The 17,914-nt window shown below is 42.5% G+C and overlaps 1 protein-coding gene across 4 annotated transcripts in view; it reads right to left on the bottom strand.

Moving 5' to 3' along the window:
• Nucleotides 1-17,914, bottom strand: part of HADH (hydroxyacyl-CoA dehydrogenase) — a 45,283-nt gene that overhangs the window by 9,953 nt on the left and 17,416 nt on the right. For all 4 annotated transcript variants that reach the window (XR_007096395.1, NM_001184705.4, NM_005327.7 and 1 more), the window contains exons 2-5: nt 15,332-15,460; nt 10,631-10,788; nt 5,553-5,679; nt 1,656-1,745 (exon numbers count right to left, since the gene is read on the bottom strand). Coding sequence is in view for 3 of the 4 variants with exons in the window: in NM_001184705.4 (NP_001171634.3) it covers nt 1,656-1,745; nt 5,553-5,679; nt 10,631-10,788; nt 15,332-15,460 (504 nt within the window). In the remaining variant the exon portion in view is untranslated. The remainder of the gene's footprint in view (nt 1-1,655; nt 1,746-5,552; nt 5,680-10,630; nt 10,789-15,331; nt 15,461-17,914) is intronic.

The raw sequence follows: 17,914 nt of genomic DNA, 5'->3' as shown, positions 1-17,914 counted from the left end.
GTAAAGTACAATACTGTAGCCCACAGCCTGTTTTTGTAAGTCAAGTTTTACTGGAGCACAGCCACACTCATATTGCATATACTGTCTATGGCTGTTTTCATGCTACAACAATAGAACTGACTACTTGCAACAGAGACTGTATGGCTGAAAATATTCACTATCTGGTCCTTTACAGAAGTTTGCTGACCCTTGTCCTATGTAGTTGCCATATATTGTCCAGATGCCTCATAAAGAGCTTCAATAACTGACCCAGAAAGACCCTCTGAAAGCCCTTAGAATACCACACAGAGAGAGTTCTGGAATGACCTAACAAGATAATTTAATGAGAACAAAGAGTTCCCATCTCTGCAGCTGCCGTGGCCACTCTGATGGAAGACTGAATCATTACTTTGTAGATTAATTATTATGCTGCTGAAGATAATCATTAGCTTTTCCCTGTACTTCTGTTTCCATATCTTTTTGTCTTGCACAGATGTTCTTTTCAATACCATTACTACTTTCTTCCACTAACAAAGCATAACTGCGTAAGAAAGTACAATCATAACATCCAATTATTAATATGAGTTTAGAAATCTAGATGACTTAAAACTACAGAACCAAACAAACAAAAAATGGGTGTTAAAGCATGAGACTCCCTAACAACACTTTACCCATGGACGGGGAGGAGCAGGACACACAAGCCTGCTCTCTTTGGCTGCTGGAGTCCACCTCAACAGATGGCTTCTTCAGGTGATTCATGAACAACATGATTTTTCATGGGTTAGTACAGTACTGTAAGTTCAAACTCGAGAATATTTTAGAAAGCAAAAGTTTGCTATGAGAACTATAATGATACAAAGGATTACAGTTAAAAAAAAAGTAGATGACTTATATGTAAATCTTTGTAATGGTGTAGCATTTTGTGACACAACTACCCCTTAAGAAAAACTGCAAAGTCATGCATAAGTATAGTCCCCGAGTTTTGGGGGAACTAAAGAGGAACTAAAGCAAATGGAGAAACTGAAGGTAATCAAAATAATTACCTTCAGGTAGGTTATCATTTCAGCAACTGGGATTATTTTATATACAATAACTGGGCAGCTTAAGAAAGGGGAAAAAAAAGATGGAGGTCAAGCAGGCTTCCCACTAAACCATGCTGCTTCTTGAAAAACAAAACAACAAACAATAAAAACATAATGCAACTTCCCGGTGAGAAACAGGTTCCTTATTGCTATTTTGGCAGGTTGCTCTCTCACTGTCTTATCATTTATTTCACCATCTGTAGTATTTCTTGCAAAAGTAAAGCCCTCATTTTCTGTTAGGGAGGTATGTGTTTACCAAGCTGTACCTAAAATCATTTATGAAAATGCAGCCATTCATCAGGAGACAAAAGCCAGGACAGAGAGCAGTCCCGTGTCTTCTACTCAGCTGGTGTCCTGAGCTCCATTCAGGTCTCAGACTATCCACATAATGGCCTTAGGCATGGCTTAGGAGTCCAGTTTCCCTGTCTACAAACTAGAACAGGAGGCACGGATTGCTCTTTACAGCATGTGGACAAGCTTGCAGTATACAATGCTCCTTCTTTCACATCATTCTATGAGAAGAATTCTACCAGGAACAAGTCAGGGTCCAAGAAGAAAAGAACTACCTCCTTCCCAAGCTACCCATACTCTTACCTTGCAAGAAACAGGATGCTTTCCTAGGGCTTTGCTAAAGTCTACCAAAGATTCAAATGTCTTCTGGCTGGTCATTGGTGTTTTAATGACCTGGAAATGCAAAGCAGAGAATTATGACCAGAGTGTCAGCAAGCAACTTCGGTAGAATGGTTCAAGGAATGATTGATCAAAAGGCTCCATATAGGCAACAAAAATAGTTTGAGTTTCAGCATAGAAGTAGGAATCTCAAGCCAGAAACAATGTATTTCCCAAAATGACTATTTTAAAACAGAGGCCAAATGTGGTGGCTCATGCCTGTAATCCCAGCACTTTGGGAGGCTGAAGCGGGCAGATCATGAAGTCAAGAGATCGAGACCATCCTGGCTAACATGGTGAAACCCTATCTCTACTAAAAATACAAAAATTAGTTGGGCATGGTGGCATGTGCCTGTAGTCCCAGCTACTTGGGAGGCCCAGGCAGAAGAATTGCTTGAACCTGGGAGGTGGAGGTTGCAGTGAGCCGAGATCATGCCACTGCACTCCAGCCTGGGTGACAGAGCAAGACACCGTCTCAAAAAAAAAAAAAAAAAGACAACAGTGTACTGTAGAATGTACAAAATCACGGCTTAAAATACAAGTGTATGTGTGTACGTGTGTGTATAGGACAGTTTTACAGGCTTTGTTGTTGAGACAAGCCTGGGTTCAGTTGCACCACTTACTGGCTGTGTGACCCTGAGTATGTTTCTTGAAACTGAAATGACACTGAAATCACTCTGTTCACCTCAGGAAGTTGAGGTGAGAATGAAATTACATTGGGAGTAAAGCACAAAGCCTAAGCACAAATGCTCAATAAATGCTGACTTCCATTATTTAATTATTAGAAGTCTGGAAGTATATGATGGTTGCCCTTAAAGTCTTCTACGTGGGACCTGATCTTCTATTATAGAGGAGGAGGAGCCCCAGGAAAGTGAGTAATTTGCCCAAGTGACAGTTCTCCTGGATTCCTGAGTATTTCTCCCATGACTCCACCCTCTGCCACACAGATGCTCTAGAGGCCAGCGGCCCCTTGGCTTCAGAACAGACTCATCCTTCTGGGGAAGGCTTTCATTTACAGCAAGCGGGGCCTGCCACCTGCTCCAGCAGCCCTCCTGACCTCTGTGAGGTACAGGCAAGGGCACAAGGGCTGCCCTACTGGCATCTGTAGGGGATGGCACCAAGCACGATGCCCGGCACAGTCAGCCCTCAGTAAGCAGTTAGAGAACTCATGTGTAATGGTAAATGGAAAGAACCAGATGAAGTATATATATATATATTTTTAAACAGGAGAGATGCGTGTTTATTCACTCATTCATTCAACTATACACACACACACACACACACACATACACACACACATACACACACACACACACACACATATATATATGTAAAATGTAAAGGCCAGTAAAGAACTTCAATCGGAGTCAAAGGGTTTACTTTAGACCCTTCATGGGATCTTAGGCAACTGCCTCACCTCTCTTCTCTGGAATGGGGATCATGGGCATGTCTTCCCTGTGCAAGAGGGCCGTCTGACTCGGTGAACTAATGAGCTAGTGTCTGTGCAGGGATGAAAGGTGCTATATAAACAAAGAAGAGTTCTCACTCCTGTTTTCGTGTGATCACAGCCTGGGCCATGGTGTCATGTCGTGACATCAAGAGAAGTGAATGGATGGAAACAGGAAAAGACACAGTGAAGATGGAGAAGAGGAGCAGGACGAGAAAGACCAGAAGCCACCCTGCGGGTACCACAAATCAAACAGAATCCCAGAGCTGTTTGAAAGGAGGTCTAAAAAGTCTCCATCAAAACCACAGACTGAGCTGGGGGACAAACACTGCTGACTATGGAGTTTTCAAATTAAGTTTTTGGTTTAAGGGAGTTAATAATAGTGAAGGTTTGTTTCTTTTTAAACAGGAGAGATGGATGTTTATTCACTCATTCATTCATTCAACGAACAGTAATTTGTACAGATACGCTGCTCCTAGTTCCAACAGAGTCTGAAAAAAAATACATATATATATACATTTAAATGAGCCCAGTCCTAAGTAAAGGAGCCACTTAGCTTATTATACAAGTTATTTTGGTGTACACCACCAGCAACACAAGGAAGAGCTAAAGTTAAACAATAAAAACTGAATAGAGAAGAACACTTTTACAAAATACTTTCTAAAAAATAGTAGCATTTGCTAAACATCAGCTGTTAACAACCAACACACTACATTTCCAAAGACAAAAGCATACATTACCAGATAAATGCAGTTGAAAACATTATTAAAGTAAATCTACAGAATGTGCCTATCTCCAAAACACTTATATATACAATATAATAACTAAAGAAATCAACTAGTCCCTAAGTACTGAAATGTTGGAAATGCATGCCACTTCTTTGCTCTTAATCTGCATGAGATAAGAGCTGTTAAATGCTGTTTCTTCTGTTCCCCAAATCCCTCCCCTTCATTCTTCAATTTCTTCAAAAAATCAGCCTTAGGGGATAGGAGAAAATAGGAGGAAGCTGAGAAGCAATGTTAGTAAGACAGAAAAAGTCCCATTGCAAGATGGTCAAAGTTGTCACTTGAGAGAAAATGCTAAAAAAAATGGTCATTATTATGACTTATTAAAAATGCTTATGCTGAGTAGTGGTGAGGGAATGAGGAGGATAAAGGAAGGAAAAGGTAGTTGGAAAAGGCAATAATGAAGAAAACAGACGATACACACTCCCAGAGAGGCCACAGCCAGTGTGTGTAGGTTTGCCTGGCCCCACATCACCCACATGGCAGCATCAGCGTCCCCCACACTTCGCAGGGCAATAACTCCTCAACCTCAGAACAAATGCTACTTTAATAGCGGCTGCTCCTCAGACCCTGTAATTAGGACCCTGTAAAAGGCAAGTTGTCCCATTTCAGGTGCAAATTGCCTACTGTGACTCCAACTCCAACATATTGGAGTCTCCAAGCATTCCAAACAGGATGCTGGGGAAGCCCTCCCTGCCTCCCCGCTCCACCTTCCAGGTTTATGGTCAGGAGGCTCAAGGCTATCAGAAGCTGGTTTTATTTTTTTACTTTTAGGGTTTTTTTATTCGATATAGGATCTTGCTCTGTCATCCAGGCTGGAGTGCAGTGGTGCAATCACAGCTCACTGCAGCCTCAACCTCCCAGGCTCAATCAATCCTCCCACTTCAGCCTTCCAAGTACTGGAGACTACATGCGTGCACCAAAACCCCTGGCTGATTTTTTATTTTTTGTAGAAATGGGGTCTTGCCATGTTGCCTAGGCTGTTCTTGAACCCCTGGGTCTCAAGCAATCCACTAACTTCCACCTCCAAAAGTTCTAGGATTACAGGCATGAGCCGCCGCACCCAATGGGAGCTGGTTTTAATAGCTCTGATCACAATGCACAGGAGATGTACCTCATCTGGGGACAACGCTAAGGCACCATTACATGGGGTCAGAATTAACCCCAGGAACTGTGGACAAGCTAGTATAGTGTATCTAATGAGAACTGCATTTACAGCATGGGCAAGCTGACCTCGACGAGATAATATGAACACATGTAGCTGCCCTCTGTGTGGTCCCATCCAGCCCACGGTTTCTAGTGCTGCCTTCCCATTCTGATGCCTCTCAGCACTGCCCATCAGCTCTGGCACAAATAAGTAAATGACATTCCACAAAGTTAACAGCCTTTCTGGATATCACTAAGCAAGACACAGGGCTGTGAAGAAACAAAGCATAGAAGCCCTCCTAGATATGAGGCTCAGGGACAACCTTCTACCCTCAGGTTAAAACCCATCCTAGGCAACTGGTGGCAGGGCTGGTGTAACACAGAAAAGCAGGACTGAGAGAGCTGGCAGAGCGGGCAGACACACACAAGCTGACACCCACTGACCTCCACAAGTTTCATGACAGGCACTGGGTTGAAGAAATGGAGGCCAGCGAATCGGTCTTGTCTGGTGGTGGCATTAGCTATGCTTGTAATCTGCAAGGAGGAAGTGTTGCTGGCAAAGATTGTATGTCTGTGAAGAGAAAATATAGTGGGAGTATCAGAGTGAATCTCTTCTTTCAAAACAGCATGACTCTTGGATGCAATGCACAAGGTGACTGCTTACTGCCACATCTGTTGTCCTGACCCATTGGGGGAATGAGGGAGAAGACACATCTTCATATAAGAGGCTGAAATCAAGTGACTTCAGCTTTTTAAAAATTTTTAAATTTGAAATAAAATTGGAATTTCCTGTTCCGAAGAGGTATTTAACCTTCACCAATCCTTCCTTGATTTTCCAGAACAAAATTTCCCCTACCTACTTGTATTAGTTAACTTCCAAGGTATGTGAGATAACAAGAGGTGGCTAATTGATCAAGCTACTTAACCAACCCCAGTCACAAACGAAACTCAGTGATCAAAAAATAATGAAAGAAAGACACCTAAAAGCAACAAAATTCTAAATGAACACATAAATCCTCAATCAGAAACATATGATAATAAACGTGAATTAAGATATTTTCCCTGAAGTGAAAAGCTTTATTTTTCAATTGAATGGGAATTAAAATGAAAACAAGAACACCAACATGGTTCAAAAAAATTTTAAGGTTACATGGGTAGATATGGGGAAAAGAGGATATAGGCATATGCATATATAAGACATTAACTTATTCATTAAAAAAAATCCATACTGACTTAAACCAAATTTAGTTCTTTAAGGCCACAGTAAAGTGGCGTGCCAAAAGCATGAGAGGAAAAGCTTTAAACAGGTTGACTTCCAGGCTTTCCTGCAGCGCCACCTTGCGGATAAAAACATACAAACAGGCCTGGTGCTGATTCCAACCAAGATGGACTGTAACAGGGCAGGAAAGGAAAGGATCCCTTACTGACCAGGCTTGGGGGTTTCTGCTTACCTAACAGGCAATACTATAATCTGCTCAAATCAGGGGCGGGTGGGAGGAGAGGAGGAAGAGAAGGGAGAAGAAACCAGTTATTTGGAAAGGAGGGAAAAGAGGTAAAAGGCGAGACCAGTGTGGGTAGGCAGCGGAGAGCCTTCTCTTTCCAGGTATGAGCACATCCACCTTCTCCAACAGCTTCCAAGGTAGGCCATTTAAATGCCAGGGTTTCCTTTTTAAAAAAAAAATGACATTGTTTTAAGGTCTTAAAATTTCAGTTTTCAAAGTTTCTTGCTTTTGGTCATTGGGGAAAATAATATAAACTATTCCCCATTACAGAAGGTAATGAAAAAAAGATCCTCTTCCAATAACAATGTGTGTGGCCAACACAAGCACTGTTCAACCACACAACCTGCACCACAAGCACCTGGAACCACAAAAACAGAGCAGGGACAGCCTGGGCCCAAGGCTGTGCCAGCTGTGGCTCCACACTCCCGTTAAGAAAAGAAAGTGTTATTTTAAAGATTAGTATTACAATCGTAATACCCCTTTTTGTAGAATGTTTGAAGGGCCATTCACCTGCAAAAAGGGGAAACTTGGGCACATTTGGTAAAATAAAGTGACATCAGAGCCCAGTTCCAGGTATCACCAGTCCAGGGCACTCTGGCACATTTTATCAGAAGGAGGAAATGATCTCTCCCCAGCAGACCTCTGCTTCTGCCTCTCCCAACAGGGTCAGGCTGACTTTGTTCCTAAAAGTCTCACACTGTCTTCAGAGAATACTAAACACATAGGACAGTCTTTTCATCCACAAACAAAATGTACTCTGGGCTGGGCACGGTGGCTCACACTTGTAATACCAGCACTTTAGGAGGCCGAGGCAGGTGGATCACTTGAAGTCAGGAGTTCGAGACGAGCCTGGCCAACATGCCCCGTCTCTACTAAAAATACAAAAATTAGCTGGGCATGGTAGCGCATGCCTGTAATCCCAGCCACTAGGGAGGCTGAGGCAGGAGAATTGCTTGAACCTGGGGGGCAGAGGTTTCAGTGAGCTTAAGATCATGCCACTGCACTCCAGCCTGGGCGACAGAGCGAGACTCCGTCTCAAAAAAAAAAAAAAAGTACTCTTACATGTTCCTGGAAACACTTGTCTTGAACCATCTTTTGTTTTTTTCATTCGGACACTCAGGTACCAAAAAAACTACTTTTCTCTTAAATGTTCTAAAAGAAAATCGACAACACAAGCACAGTGATTATTAGCAATGGCCCCAGACCCTAGTATAAAGAAGACAAGAGGGTTGGTGGGGATGGCAAAGGATTCAAGAGTCTGTACTTTGTCTAAAGGGGAAAGTCAGGACTTCGATCTGGCTGCCTGTGCGTCTGGTCATACTTTTCATTTGTGTGTCTTAGGCTGCTGCTAGAGAAGTCATGTTCTCTCCAGGATGCAACTGTTTCATCAGGGCTTCCAACCCGAAATGTATCACTTGACTATATTTTCTTCTCCCATTATAGGATCGAACTGTAAAATTTGTCAGTAAAGTACCTCTCAATACGGCTGCTTAAAAATTGTAGCAAGCATTCAATAATGGTGGTGATCTAAAACAAAAACAAACAGTGCCAAGAAAGGTGGAGAAGGTCAGCAGCAAAGTCACATCTTTGGTATGACTATGGGTCATGCCTTCTTTTCACACCTCATATCTGTTTTGCATCAATTCAGGTTAAAGAGCCTAGTGTAGTGCCTGATACACAGCAGGCACTCAGGAAATGTGAGCTAAATGAAATGAGTTTCCTAAACAACTCTGTACAATAGGTACCAGTGCTGCTGCTCCTATTTTACAAATGGGGGAAGCTAGTCTTAGAGAGTTAGAGCCAGAAAGGTCTAGGAAATTATTTACCCCAATCACCTCAACTTGCATTACAGATGACGAAACTGAGGACCTTTCCAAGGCTGGAGGTGGTGAGGGGGTCAGCACCAGGCCCAGGCCTCCTGACTTTCTCCAGTGATCCTTCTTCTGTACCAGACATGGACAATGGAGGGCAGTCAGGCCTTTCACTGTCACCAAGAGCGACCAATCTTTTCAATAAAGATCAAACTGCTTGACAAAACTCCCTTTTTTGGGGTGGCTGTTTATTATCCCAGAGGGCTCCCTGCTGGCCTGGGAGCCAGTCCCGGTACCACAAGTATATTCTGTTTTTGTCAGATGTCTCTGTAGCCTCTAGATGCCAGTGTGAAATGCACGAGGACACTGATTGGCAGTGATGGACAGATGACAGAAAGGCAAGTCTCTTCTCTTTGTCAGGGGCAGGGCCTCTCTGGCCACAAGGCCACCCATCTCTGAAGGTTAACATTCCGACAAGCTGGTATGCAAGTGACTCTCTTTAGCCACTGCCCACCGGAAGTGCCCTGAGAATTGCTTTTGTCATATAATCTTATTCTGCCATTCAATTCCAACCAAGAAGCATGAAAATATAGTCAAACAAGTCACTAGAAGAGCACTGATCAGTGGGTCAGGTGTCACACACTCGAAGGCTCTGGATCCCAAGGTACATTCTGCCAGGAAGAATTCCACCAGGAAGCCAGCCAGCTAAGAAGTCAATGCTCCTTTAACACTCCCAAGAGTACTTCGATTGAACCCAGATGAAGCTCAAAACAGGAAAGTCCTCTCTGTCTATAGGCATTCCCTTCAATTACACCATTCTGTTTGCTCCATCCAAAAAAGGAGGAAACACAGAACTGCTCTGAGGGTCCTTGGCAGACAGTTAAGGACACGTAGGGTACTCCTATGCCCGAGAGTGGAGCACAGAAGTACCCTACATGTCCTTAACTGTCTGCTGTCAGATGTCTCTGCAGCCTCTAGATGCCAGTGTGAAATGAACCAAGGAACGTCAGAGCAGCTTCTGGCATAGGAGTATCCATGACCTACACACTTCAAGAAACATAGGCCTGTCCCTGGATGGACCCCTCCATGTTACCATGGGTAATTCTACACGCATCTGGGACAAGGATCAGATCACAGCAGCCCAAGCTTCAGAAGCAAACTGGGAGTGGGAGGATGGAGAACAACGGAAACCATATTGGCTTTTCTTGAAATAGCTGTGGGGTAGGAGAGAGGGAGGTGGATAAACTTGGTCAAAGGATCCCTTCCTGGGAGAAGGCAATAAACAAGGAGGAAAGTTCAAGGCCCAGGGAGGGACCCCTCAGAATCTGTCAAGAATGTCCAGGGGTCATGAACAGATATTTTTCAAAAAAAGACACACTAGTGGTCAATAAACATATGAGAAAATGCTCAGCATCACTAATCAACAGAGAAATGGAAATTAAAACCACAATGAGTTTAGCACCTGATACCAGTCAGAATGGCTTTTATTAAAAAGTCAAAACCAACAGATGTTGGTGAGAATCTGGAGAAAGGGAACCCCTGCATGCTGGTGGTGGCAATGTAAATTAGTACAACCTTTAAGGAAAACAGTATGGAGATTTCTCAAAAAACTAAAAACAGAACTACCATGCGATCCAGCAGCCCCACTATTGGGTATATATTCAAAGGAAAAAAACTCATTCTATCAAAAAGATACCTGCACTCATATGTTTATTGCAGCACTATTCACAATAGCAAAGACACGAAATCAACCTAAGTGTCCATCAATGGCTGATTAAAGAAAATGTGGCATATATACACCATGGAATACTACTCAGCTATAAAAAAGAATAAAATCATGTCTTTTGAAGCAACATGAACAGGAGTGAAGGCCATTATCTTAAGTGAAACAACTCAGTCAAATACCATATGTTCTCACATATAAGTGATAGCTAAATAACAGGTACCCATGGATGTACAGAGGGAAATAACAGACACTGGAGAGTTCAAAAGGTGGGAGGGTGGCGAGGGTTGAAAAATTACCTATTGGGTACAGTGTTCACTATGTGGGTGATGGGTATACTAAAAGCCCAGACTTCACCACTACACAATATAGGCATGGAACAAAACTGCACTTGTACTCACAAATCTATAAAAACAAAAAATAAAAATGAAAAACAAAAATAAGGTTAAAAAAAAAAAAAAAGAAGATTGTCCAGAGGTTACATACTCAGCAGCAAACTTGTCCAGCCTTTTGAAGAGCTCGTTTTTCACCTTCAGATTCTCCACGATGGCTTCCACCACCAAGTCTGTGCTGTGGACAACGGAGGCTGCATCCGTGCTGGTCGCTATGGTGCTCAGGGTCTTCTCCACAAATTCATCGCCGGCCTAATGCAGTGGGAGGAAGAAGAGAACATTCACCGGGCTCACTGGAAATTATCTTTCAAGTTCTTAGCTCTGCTCCAGTTAGCAAACTGGGTGTTCAGAGCACCTGTATTGGCCTACCCTATCTGTTCTCAAAGTGTCCACGAAGCCTGTAATTTATCCTTCCATAGCTCCCTGCCATCCATTAGTCTTGAGGTGGTGCTGACTATTCCTCTCTAATAAAAGCAGAGACTAGCTCCTATTAGAGCAAGGGCAAGAGCCAGGGTAAGAAAGCCGACTTAGCATTTATCAAATAATTATTGTCTGTCATATGCCTGAAACTGTTGTTTCCGAAACAAGCTAGACACAGCCTCTGCTGCCAAAGAGCCTGTAGTTTTCATCGTTTCCTCATTTTTCTCCTGTGACTCCAGGTTTCCACAGACCTCAATAAGGACAGAATTGGAGATGGTGCCTCTATAAGCCGCCATTTTATTTCATAGTGTAATTTGTCCACAGGGCATCAAAATAGTCATAATCAGCAAAGGCATCCAAAATCATCATGGAATAAGCAGCTAGATCTCAGCTGTTATACAGAAATATTCTACTAGCCACATTAAAAAAAGGGAAAAGACATTCGCAGGTGAAATTAATGTTATTTAACCCAATATATCTAAGATGCCATCACTTTAACAGGTACTCAATATTTAAAAATATTGAGATGTTTTATATATTTTTCCCCTATTATAGCTTTAAAATCTAGTGTCTATTTTACACTCAGAGCACATTTCTATCTAGACTAGCCACATTTCAAGCACTCAGTAGCCACTTGTGAGTAGCTATTATATTGGTGGTCAGTATAGAGCTAGATAAGCATAGTATGTCAACTAGGCAGAGAAACTGACACCTCCCTCCTCAGTGGTGTCCCTGGCAGAGGAGAGAAACCTCAGGAGTATAGACTTCTGAGGAGTAGCTAGCCAGAGCTGAGCAACTTGAGCATAGGGGCCATCCTTTTATCTTTAGGGTGTGGCTCAGAAACTCAGCCCAAGGAGACAATTAGCTGAAAGTCTGTAAACAAGCAGAAAATGCAGGCTATCTGGGTCAAACTCACTCTGTCCTAGACTCCAACCCTCAGCCCAGGGCTCTTATAATCTCATCTGTCTGGACCCTCCTCATAACATCCCCTGCATGGGGTCCCACTACAATTAAGAATATAAGGGACAGATGGTCCGGGCGCAGTGGCTCACACCTGTAATCCCAGCACTTCGGGAGGCCGAGGCAGGCGGATCACGAGGTTAGGAGATCGAGACCATCCGGGATAACATGGTGAAACCCCGTCTCCACTAAAAATACAAAAATTTGCTGGGCGTGGTAGCGGGCGCCTGCAGTCCCAGCTACTCAAAAGGCTGAGGCAGGAGAATGGCGTGAACCCGGGAGGTGGAGCTTGCAGTGAGCCGACATCGCGCAACTGCACTCCAGCCTTGGCTACAGAGCAAGACTCCTCCGTCTCAACAAAAAAGAATATAAGGGACAGGTGAAGAATATCTTAATGTAAAAAGTAAAGTAGAAGTTCCTCTTCAAAGAGACTCTCCTCCCCATCTAATTAAGAATAAATAGTAACTTTTCTTAGAAGCAAAATTTATTCTAAGACCTGTTAACATTCTTCAATATCTGCTAGCTGTAATAAAGAAATCAATGTACTTTATGTTCTTAGCTCCCACAATTTAGCCTAAATATTTGCCCTGGCATGCTTATACTGGTCCAAGTGGGCATTAGGTCATAGCCTGTTCCTCTTCCTTATTTAGAGGTGTTTTTACCTTTCTCAGCATTCCACAAGTTACTTCCTCCTTCCTTTGTTCTCATCTGCCTTTGCCTCTTTCAAAAAGTTCTAAGTTGCTAGCCAATCAAGACAAATACATTTGAATGTGAAGTCCCGTCCCAGCCAATAGAAACCGGACACAGCAGTAAGATGGACGTGTCAGGTTATAAATGACCCTGTCTCCTTTGTTCGGTGTACTCTTGTGGCAAAAATGCTGGCGAGTGTACCCTTTCTGCAGAAAGTAAAAATGGTCTTGCTGAGGAAATTAAATTTATTTCAAGTGCTATTTCTTTACAGCACCAAAGAACAAGCATTTCTAACATTAATCTGCCTGTGACATTTATTATTTGAATTTCATCCTAGAGAAGGTAAAATTATCTCCACCATCATCTAAAGGCCACCTAGACATTGGGGAAAAAATGCATATCAAAACCACAATGATAGCAGGACTCGGTGGCTTATGCTTGTAATCCCAGCACTTTGAGTGGCCAAGGTGGGAGGATCACTTGAGGCCAGGAGTTTGAGAGCAGCCTGGGCAACACAGTACAACTCTGTCTCTAAAAAAAAATTTTTTTTTTAATTAGCTGGGTGTGGTGGCTCACATCTATAGTCCTAGCTACTCGGGAGGCTGAGGTGAGAGAATGGCTTGAGCCTAGGAGTTCAAGGCTATAGTGAACTATGATCATGCCACTGCTCTCCAGCCTGGGTAGCAGAGCAAGACCTCATTTCCAAAACAAAAAAACAAAAAACAAAAACACCACAATGAGATACTACTTCACACCTAAGATGGCTACAATAAGAAACAAAACAAAACAAACATGGAAAATAGCAAGTGTTGGCCAGGATGTGGGGAAATTGGAACCTTCGTACATTGCTGGTGGGAATGTAAAATAGTGCAGTCACTACAGAAAACAATTTGGTGGTTCCTCAGAAAGCTAAATATAGGATTACCATACAACCCAGCAATTCTACTTGTAGGTATATAACCCAAAGAATTGAAAACAGAGACTCCAAACCAATAGCATACCAATGTTCACTGCAGCATTATTCAAAATAGCCAAAAGGTGAAAACAACCCAATTCCATTAACAGATGAATGAGTGATATGGTTTGGCTCTGTGTCCCCACCCAGATCTCACCCTGAATTGTAATAATCCCCACGTGTTGTGGGAGGGGCCCAGTGGGGGGTAATTTATAAAGGACAGTTCCCCTGCACATGCTCTCCCTCTTGCCTGCTGCCATGTAAGACATGACTTTGTTCTTCCTTCGCCTTCTACCATGATTGTAAGGCCTTCCCAGCCATGTGGAGCTATGAGTCAATTAAACCTCTTTCCTTTATAAATTACCCAGTCTCAGGCATGTCTTCATTAGCAATGTCATGAGAACAGACTAATACAATGGGTTAAAAAAAAGTGGTATAAATCCAATGGAATATTAAATTGGAATATGATAATAATCCAGTGGAATATTAAGCCATAAAAAGGAATGAAGTTGGCCGGGAGTGGTGGCTCACACCTGTAATCCCAGCACTTTGGGAGACCGAGGTGGGTGGATAACAAGGTCAAGAGATTGAAACCATCCTGGCCAACATGGTGAAACCCCATCTCTACTAAAACTACAAAAATTAGCTGGACGTGGTGGCGTGCGCCTGTAATCCCAGCTACTTGGGAGGCTGAAGGAGAACTGCTTGAACCCAGGAGGTGGAGGTTGCGGTGAGCTGAGATTGTGCCACTGCACTCCAGCCTGGTGACAGAGTGAGACTCTGTCTCAGAAAAAAAAAAAAAAAAAAAGAATGAAGTTGTGACACATGTTACAACATAGATGAACCTTGAAAACTTTATGCTAAGTGAAATAAGCTAGACACAGGACAAATATTGTATGATTCCACTTACATGAAGTATGAATGTGCGAGTGTAATTAATGCTACTGAATTGTATAGTTTAAAATGGCAAATTTTATGTTATATATTCTACCATAATAAAAAAATTTTTAAAAGCATCTAGATATACCACCTTGGATACTTGAAGTGAGAAACAACAAATGCCTTATGTGTACTTTTCTCTGGCTGCATACAGCGAGAAATTCTATCCAAGCCCCAAGGAAATCAATCTTAAGCAACTTTAACAAGATGACAAAAGGTAAATTAAAATTTGTTTGGGTGATTTGTGCTGTATTTCTAATTAAATGCAAACTCCTAAGTGAAAGTGCGCTGAAAAACAGCATGGCCCTTAGTCACCAACTCCTTCTCATCCCACCATGCTGTTGTATTCCCAGCCTCCACAGAGTTCCTCAAATTCTTCTATCTCTTCTGCTCCTGGCAAGTAGAATGATTCACTCTTAGTTTCTATAAATACCATATTTATTATATCATTCTCTTCTTAACTTGTAGTATAAAAATTATCTTCCTGTTTCTTCTTCTTCCATCCTTTTAGCAAAACAAGTGTTCTTCAATTCCAAATTCTCATGTTCTTCTAGAATGAGTTCACCACCTGTATGTACAAGCTTTCTTCTCAACCTCAAATCCCACCCAACAAAATGGTTATTTACTTCTCCTGTTTTGTAATCAGTACCCCCTGAATGTTTAGTAATTATGTTATTATATTGGTTTAAAGTTATGGAAAAATGAGTTTTACACTAACAAACTGAAAAAAAAAAAAAAAAAGAAAGAAAGAAAGCCAGAAATCCCCCATTGCCCTGCAAATGTAAAGCAGTCAGAGGACTTGTCTTGAAGACATCGATAATAAGAAATTACCTTAAGGTTTTCTGCAAACTTCTTCTTTGCCACTTTCCTAAGGCTTTCCTCAATTCCCTTTTTGGATTTTGCCAGGATGTCCTCTGTCTGGTCTACCAACACTACTGTGTGACCAGTTGCTGCAGCAACCTAGAGCAACAAAAGAACAATTTCTTTTTAAAAGAAAGAAAACATAACACGCACGCGCACACACCCCACCCCAAAAAACAGTGGCATTTCATATTCCACATGAATTCTACTACCATTCCATTCAAAATACCGAGTGAACATATGATAAGTCAACATTAACTAAACACACACTTCTTGCCAGGCACTGTTCTAAACCCTTTATATTGAATACAACAAATTCTTGAAACAACTGTAGAAGGTTAAGAAGTGTCCCTATGGTCACTCAATGGGTAGACAGCAGAGCCGGAATCTGAATCAAAGCCCTGAAGGCCAAGCTCTAAATACTTCTCTGTACTGATTTTAACACTGCACTGTTCCATTCAGGGGCCACTAGCTACATGTGGCTATTTAAATTAATTGGAATTAAGTAAAATTAAATATTCAGTTCCTCAGTGGCACTAGCCATATTTCAAAGTGCTCAGCAGGCTGTTCCCAGAGCACCCACTCCCCAGCCACCATCCTTTTCTCCTTGGAGCTGGAGCCCCTTGTACAGCTTGGCCTCTTGGCCCTTCTCTCTTCTACAGCCCTTAAATCAGTAATAGGTAAGAATTTAAACTCTAATAATGGTGGCAAAAAGACTCCTGTCCCCAAGGGCTATTTGGTGACAAGACTCCCAAGAAAATGAAGTCTTTGGGATCAGCTAATTTAGGATGGGCAATTCCCTGCCTTCACCATGCCACCCTGGCTGAGGGAGGAATCCTAGGGTAAGGGGAATGTTTAGTGAAACTGCCCAAGCTCACACACAGCCAGCTTAGCTTAGTCACAGTGAGTGACAAATCAATCCCTATTTCATCACTGTCTGGCAATAGCTTCAGCAAGGATCATGGAATAGGTATTGTGGCTAAAAGAAGATCATTGGGTCACCTCGATCACCTTATAGGCACGTGTAAGTGAATTAGTTCAGGCCAGAAGCAAGAGGACAGGCATGACCTAATATAATCATAAATGATGCAAGAGGACAGCAGAACTGAGATATCCCTCAGGATCTGAGAAGCCCCCTGCAAAACCATTGCTTTGGAACCTCGATGACACCAACAGTGTGCAGGAGAGGGGCAAGTTATCTGGAATGAACTTGCCCAGAGAAGAACAAGGAGATGACAGAAATAGTCCCAAACCATGGTCGTGATATAAGATTTTTGAAGCAAGGCAACCAAAACTCAAAAGCAGAAAACCAATGAGTAAAAGAAACAGAAACAAAAGAGCAAAACCTAAAGGCAAAGACGTTCAAATCCCAAGGCAAGATTTCCAAAGAACAGTTTTCAAAATGGTAAGACAGGTTTTAAGTGCAAGGTTATTTCAACTGCACTCATGGCTCCCTGAGAAAGCAGCACACAGTGGGCTCATGTCTGAGCCTGTGGACCTGCAGGCTGCATCAGCACCGTCTGGGAACCAAGGCATGAAAACGCTCCCAGGACCAAAAAGTCTGACAACCAGGACTGGGCAACCGGGGCAACGTGGAATGAATTATCTTGATACAAGGACAGAGGCAAGCAGGAAACCAGCCCATCAGCAGAAACATTCCACAGGCTGCGGGCAGGCAGCAAAGTAAAACAACGTCCCAAAAGCAAAACCCTCATCAATCCAAACCAAGGTTTTCCCCTAAGTGGCAACGGACCAAGGCCCATCTAGCCAATGATTCAAGTCAGTGATGCAGGTCACAATTTATTGTGTTGCAATAAACTACCACTATAGCATAACTTCAAGTGATTTCAAATTATAGTAGCATTTTCATTTTACCCATGTGCAGAGATCAACCCAATCTAAAAGTGCAAGGTTCCTTGCCATCATTTCTTACAGTCATACCCTAGAGACACAAGGTTAGCAACTTCTAAGGGCAGCTTCAAGTCTTAATCATCTTTACAAACCCCAGTGCCCAACCCATGACCCACAGTGAGCAATCAATGCATGAAAAACATATAACCTGATGCCTGGTACATATTAGATGCTTAATAAGATATCCACAGGATTATAGGTCCAATGTTCTTTGATTAATCTATCCACATGGAGTTGGTGTTCATCTCCTACTGGTGCGTTAGTCTAAATGGGCCATAACAGAGATGGACTCAAGATATTAGGCAGGCTATTCCTTTCTCTCATTTGGACCATTAAAAACTGCACAACTTTTATCCCCAGACTGGTTCGACAGGCTATGGTACTCTTAAGCATGGGTGAGCAGCCATAGGCCACCTGAAGGCCACATTGTTTATTTCTGAATTATTAGTACACTTGTCTTATTTCTTCTATGAGATCTCCAAGGGCTGAGAGAGCCAACAGAAGTCAATCTCTACCTACCCTCAGAAAGAACTTAAGCCTTGCCAGGCACAGTGGCTCATGCCTGTAATCCCAGTACTTTGGGAGGCCGAGGCAGGCGGATCACAAGATCAGGAGATCAAGACCATCCTGGCTAACACGGTG

This window comes from Homo sapiens, chromosome 4 (genome assembly GCF_000001405.40).
Source record: "Homo sapiens chromosome 4, GRCh38.p14 Primary Assembly".
In the NCBI taxonomy this organism is placed as follows: Eukaryota; Metazoa; Chordata; class Mammalia; order Primates; family Hominidae; genus Homo; species Homo sapiens.
The sequence above is the reverse complement of the archived record's forward strand: the minus strand, read 5'-3'. Positions and strand labels throughout refer to the sequence as shown.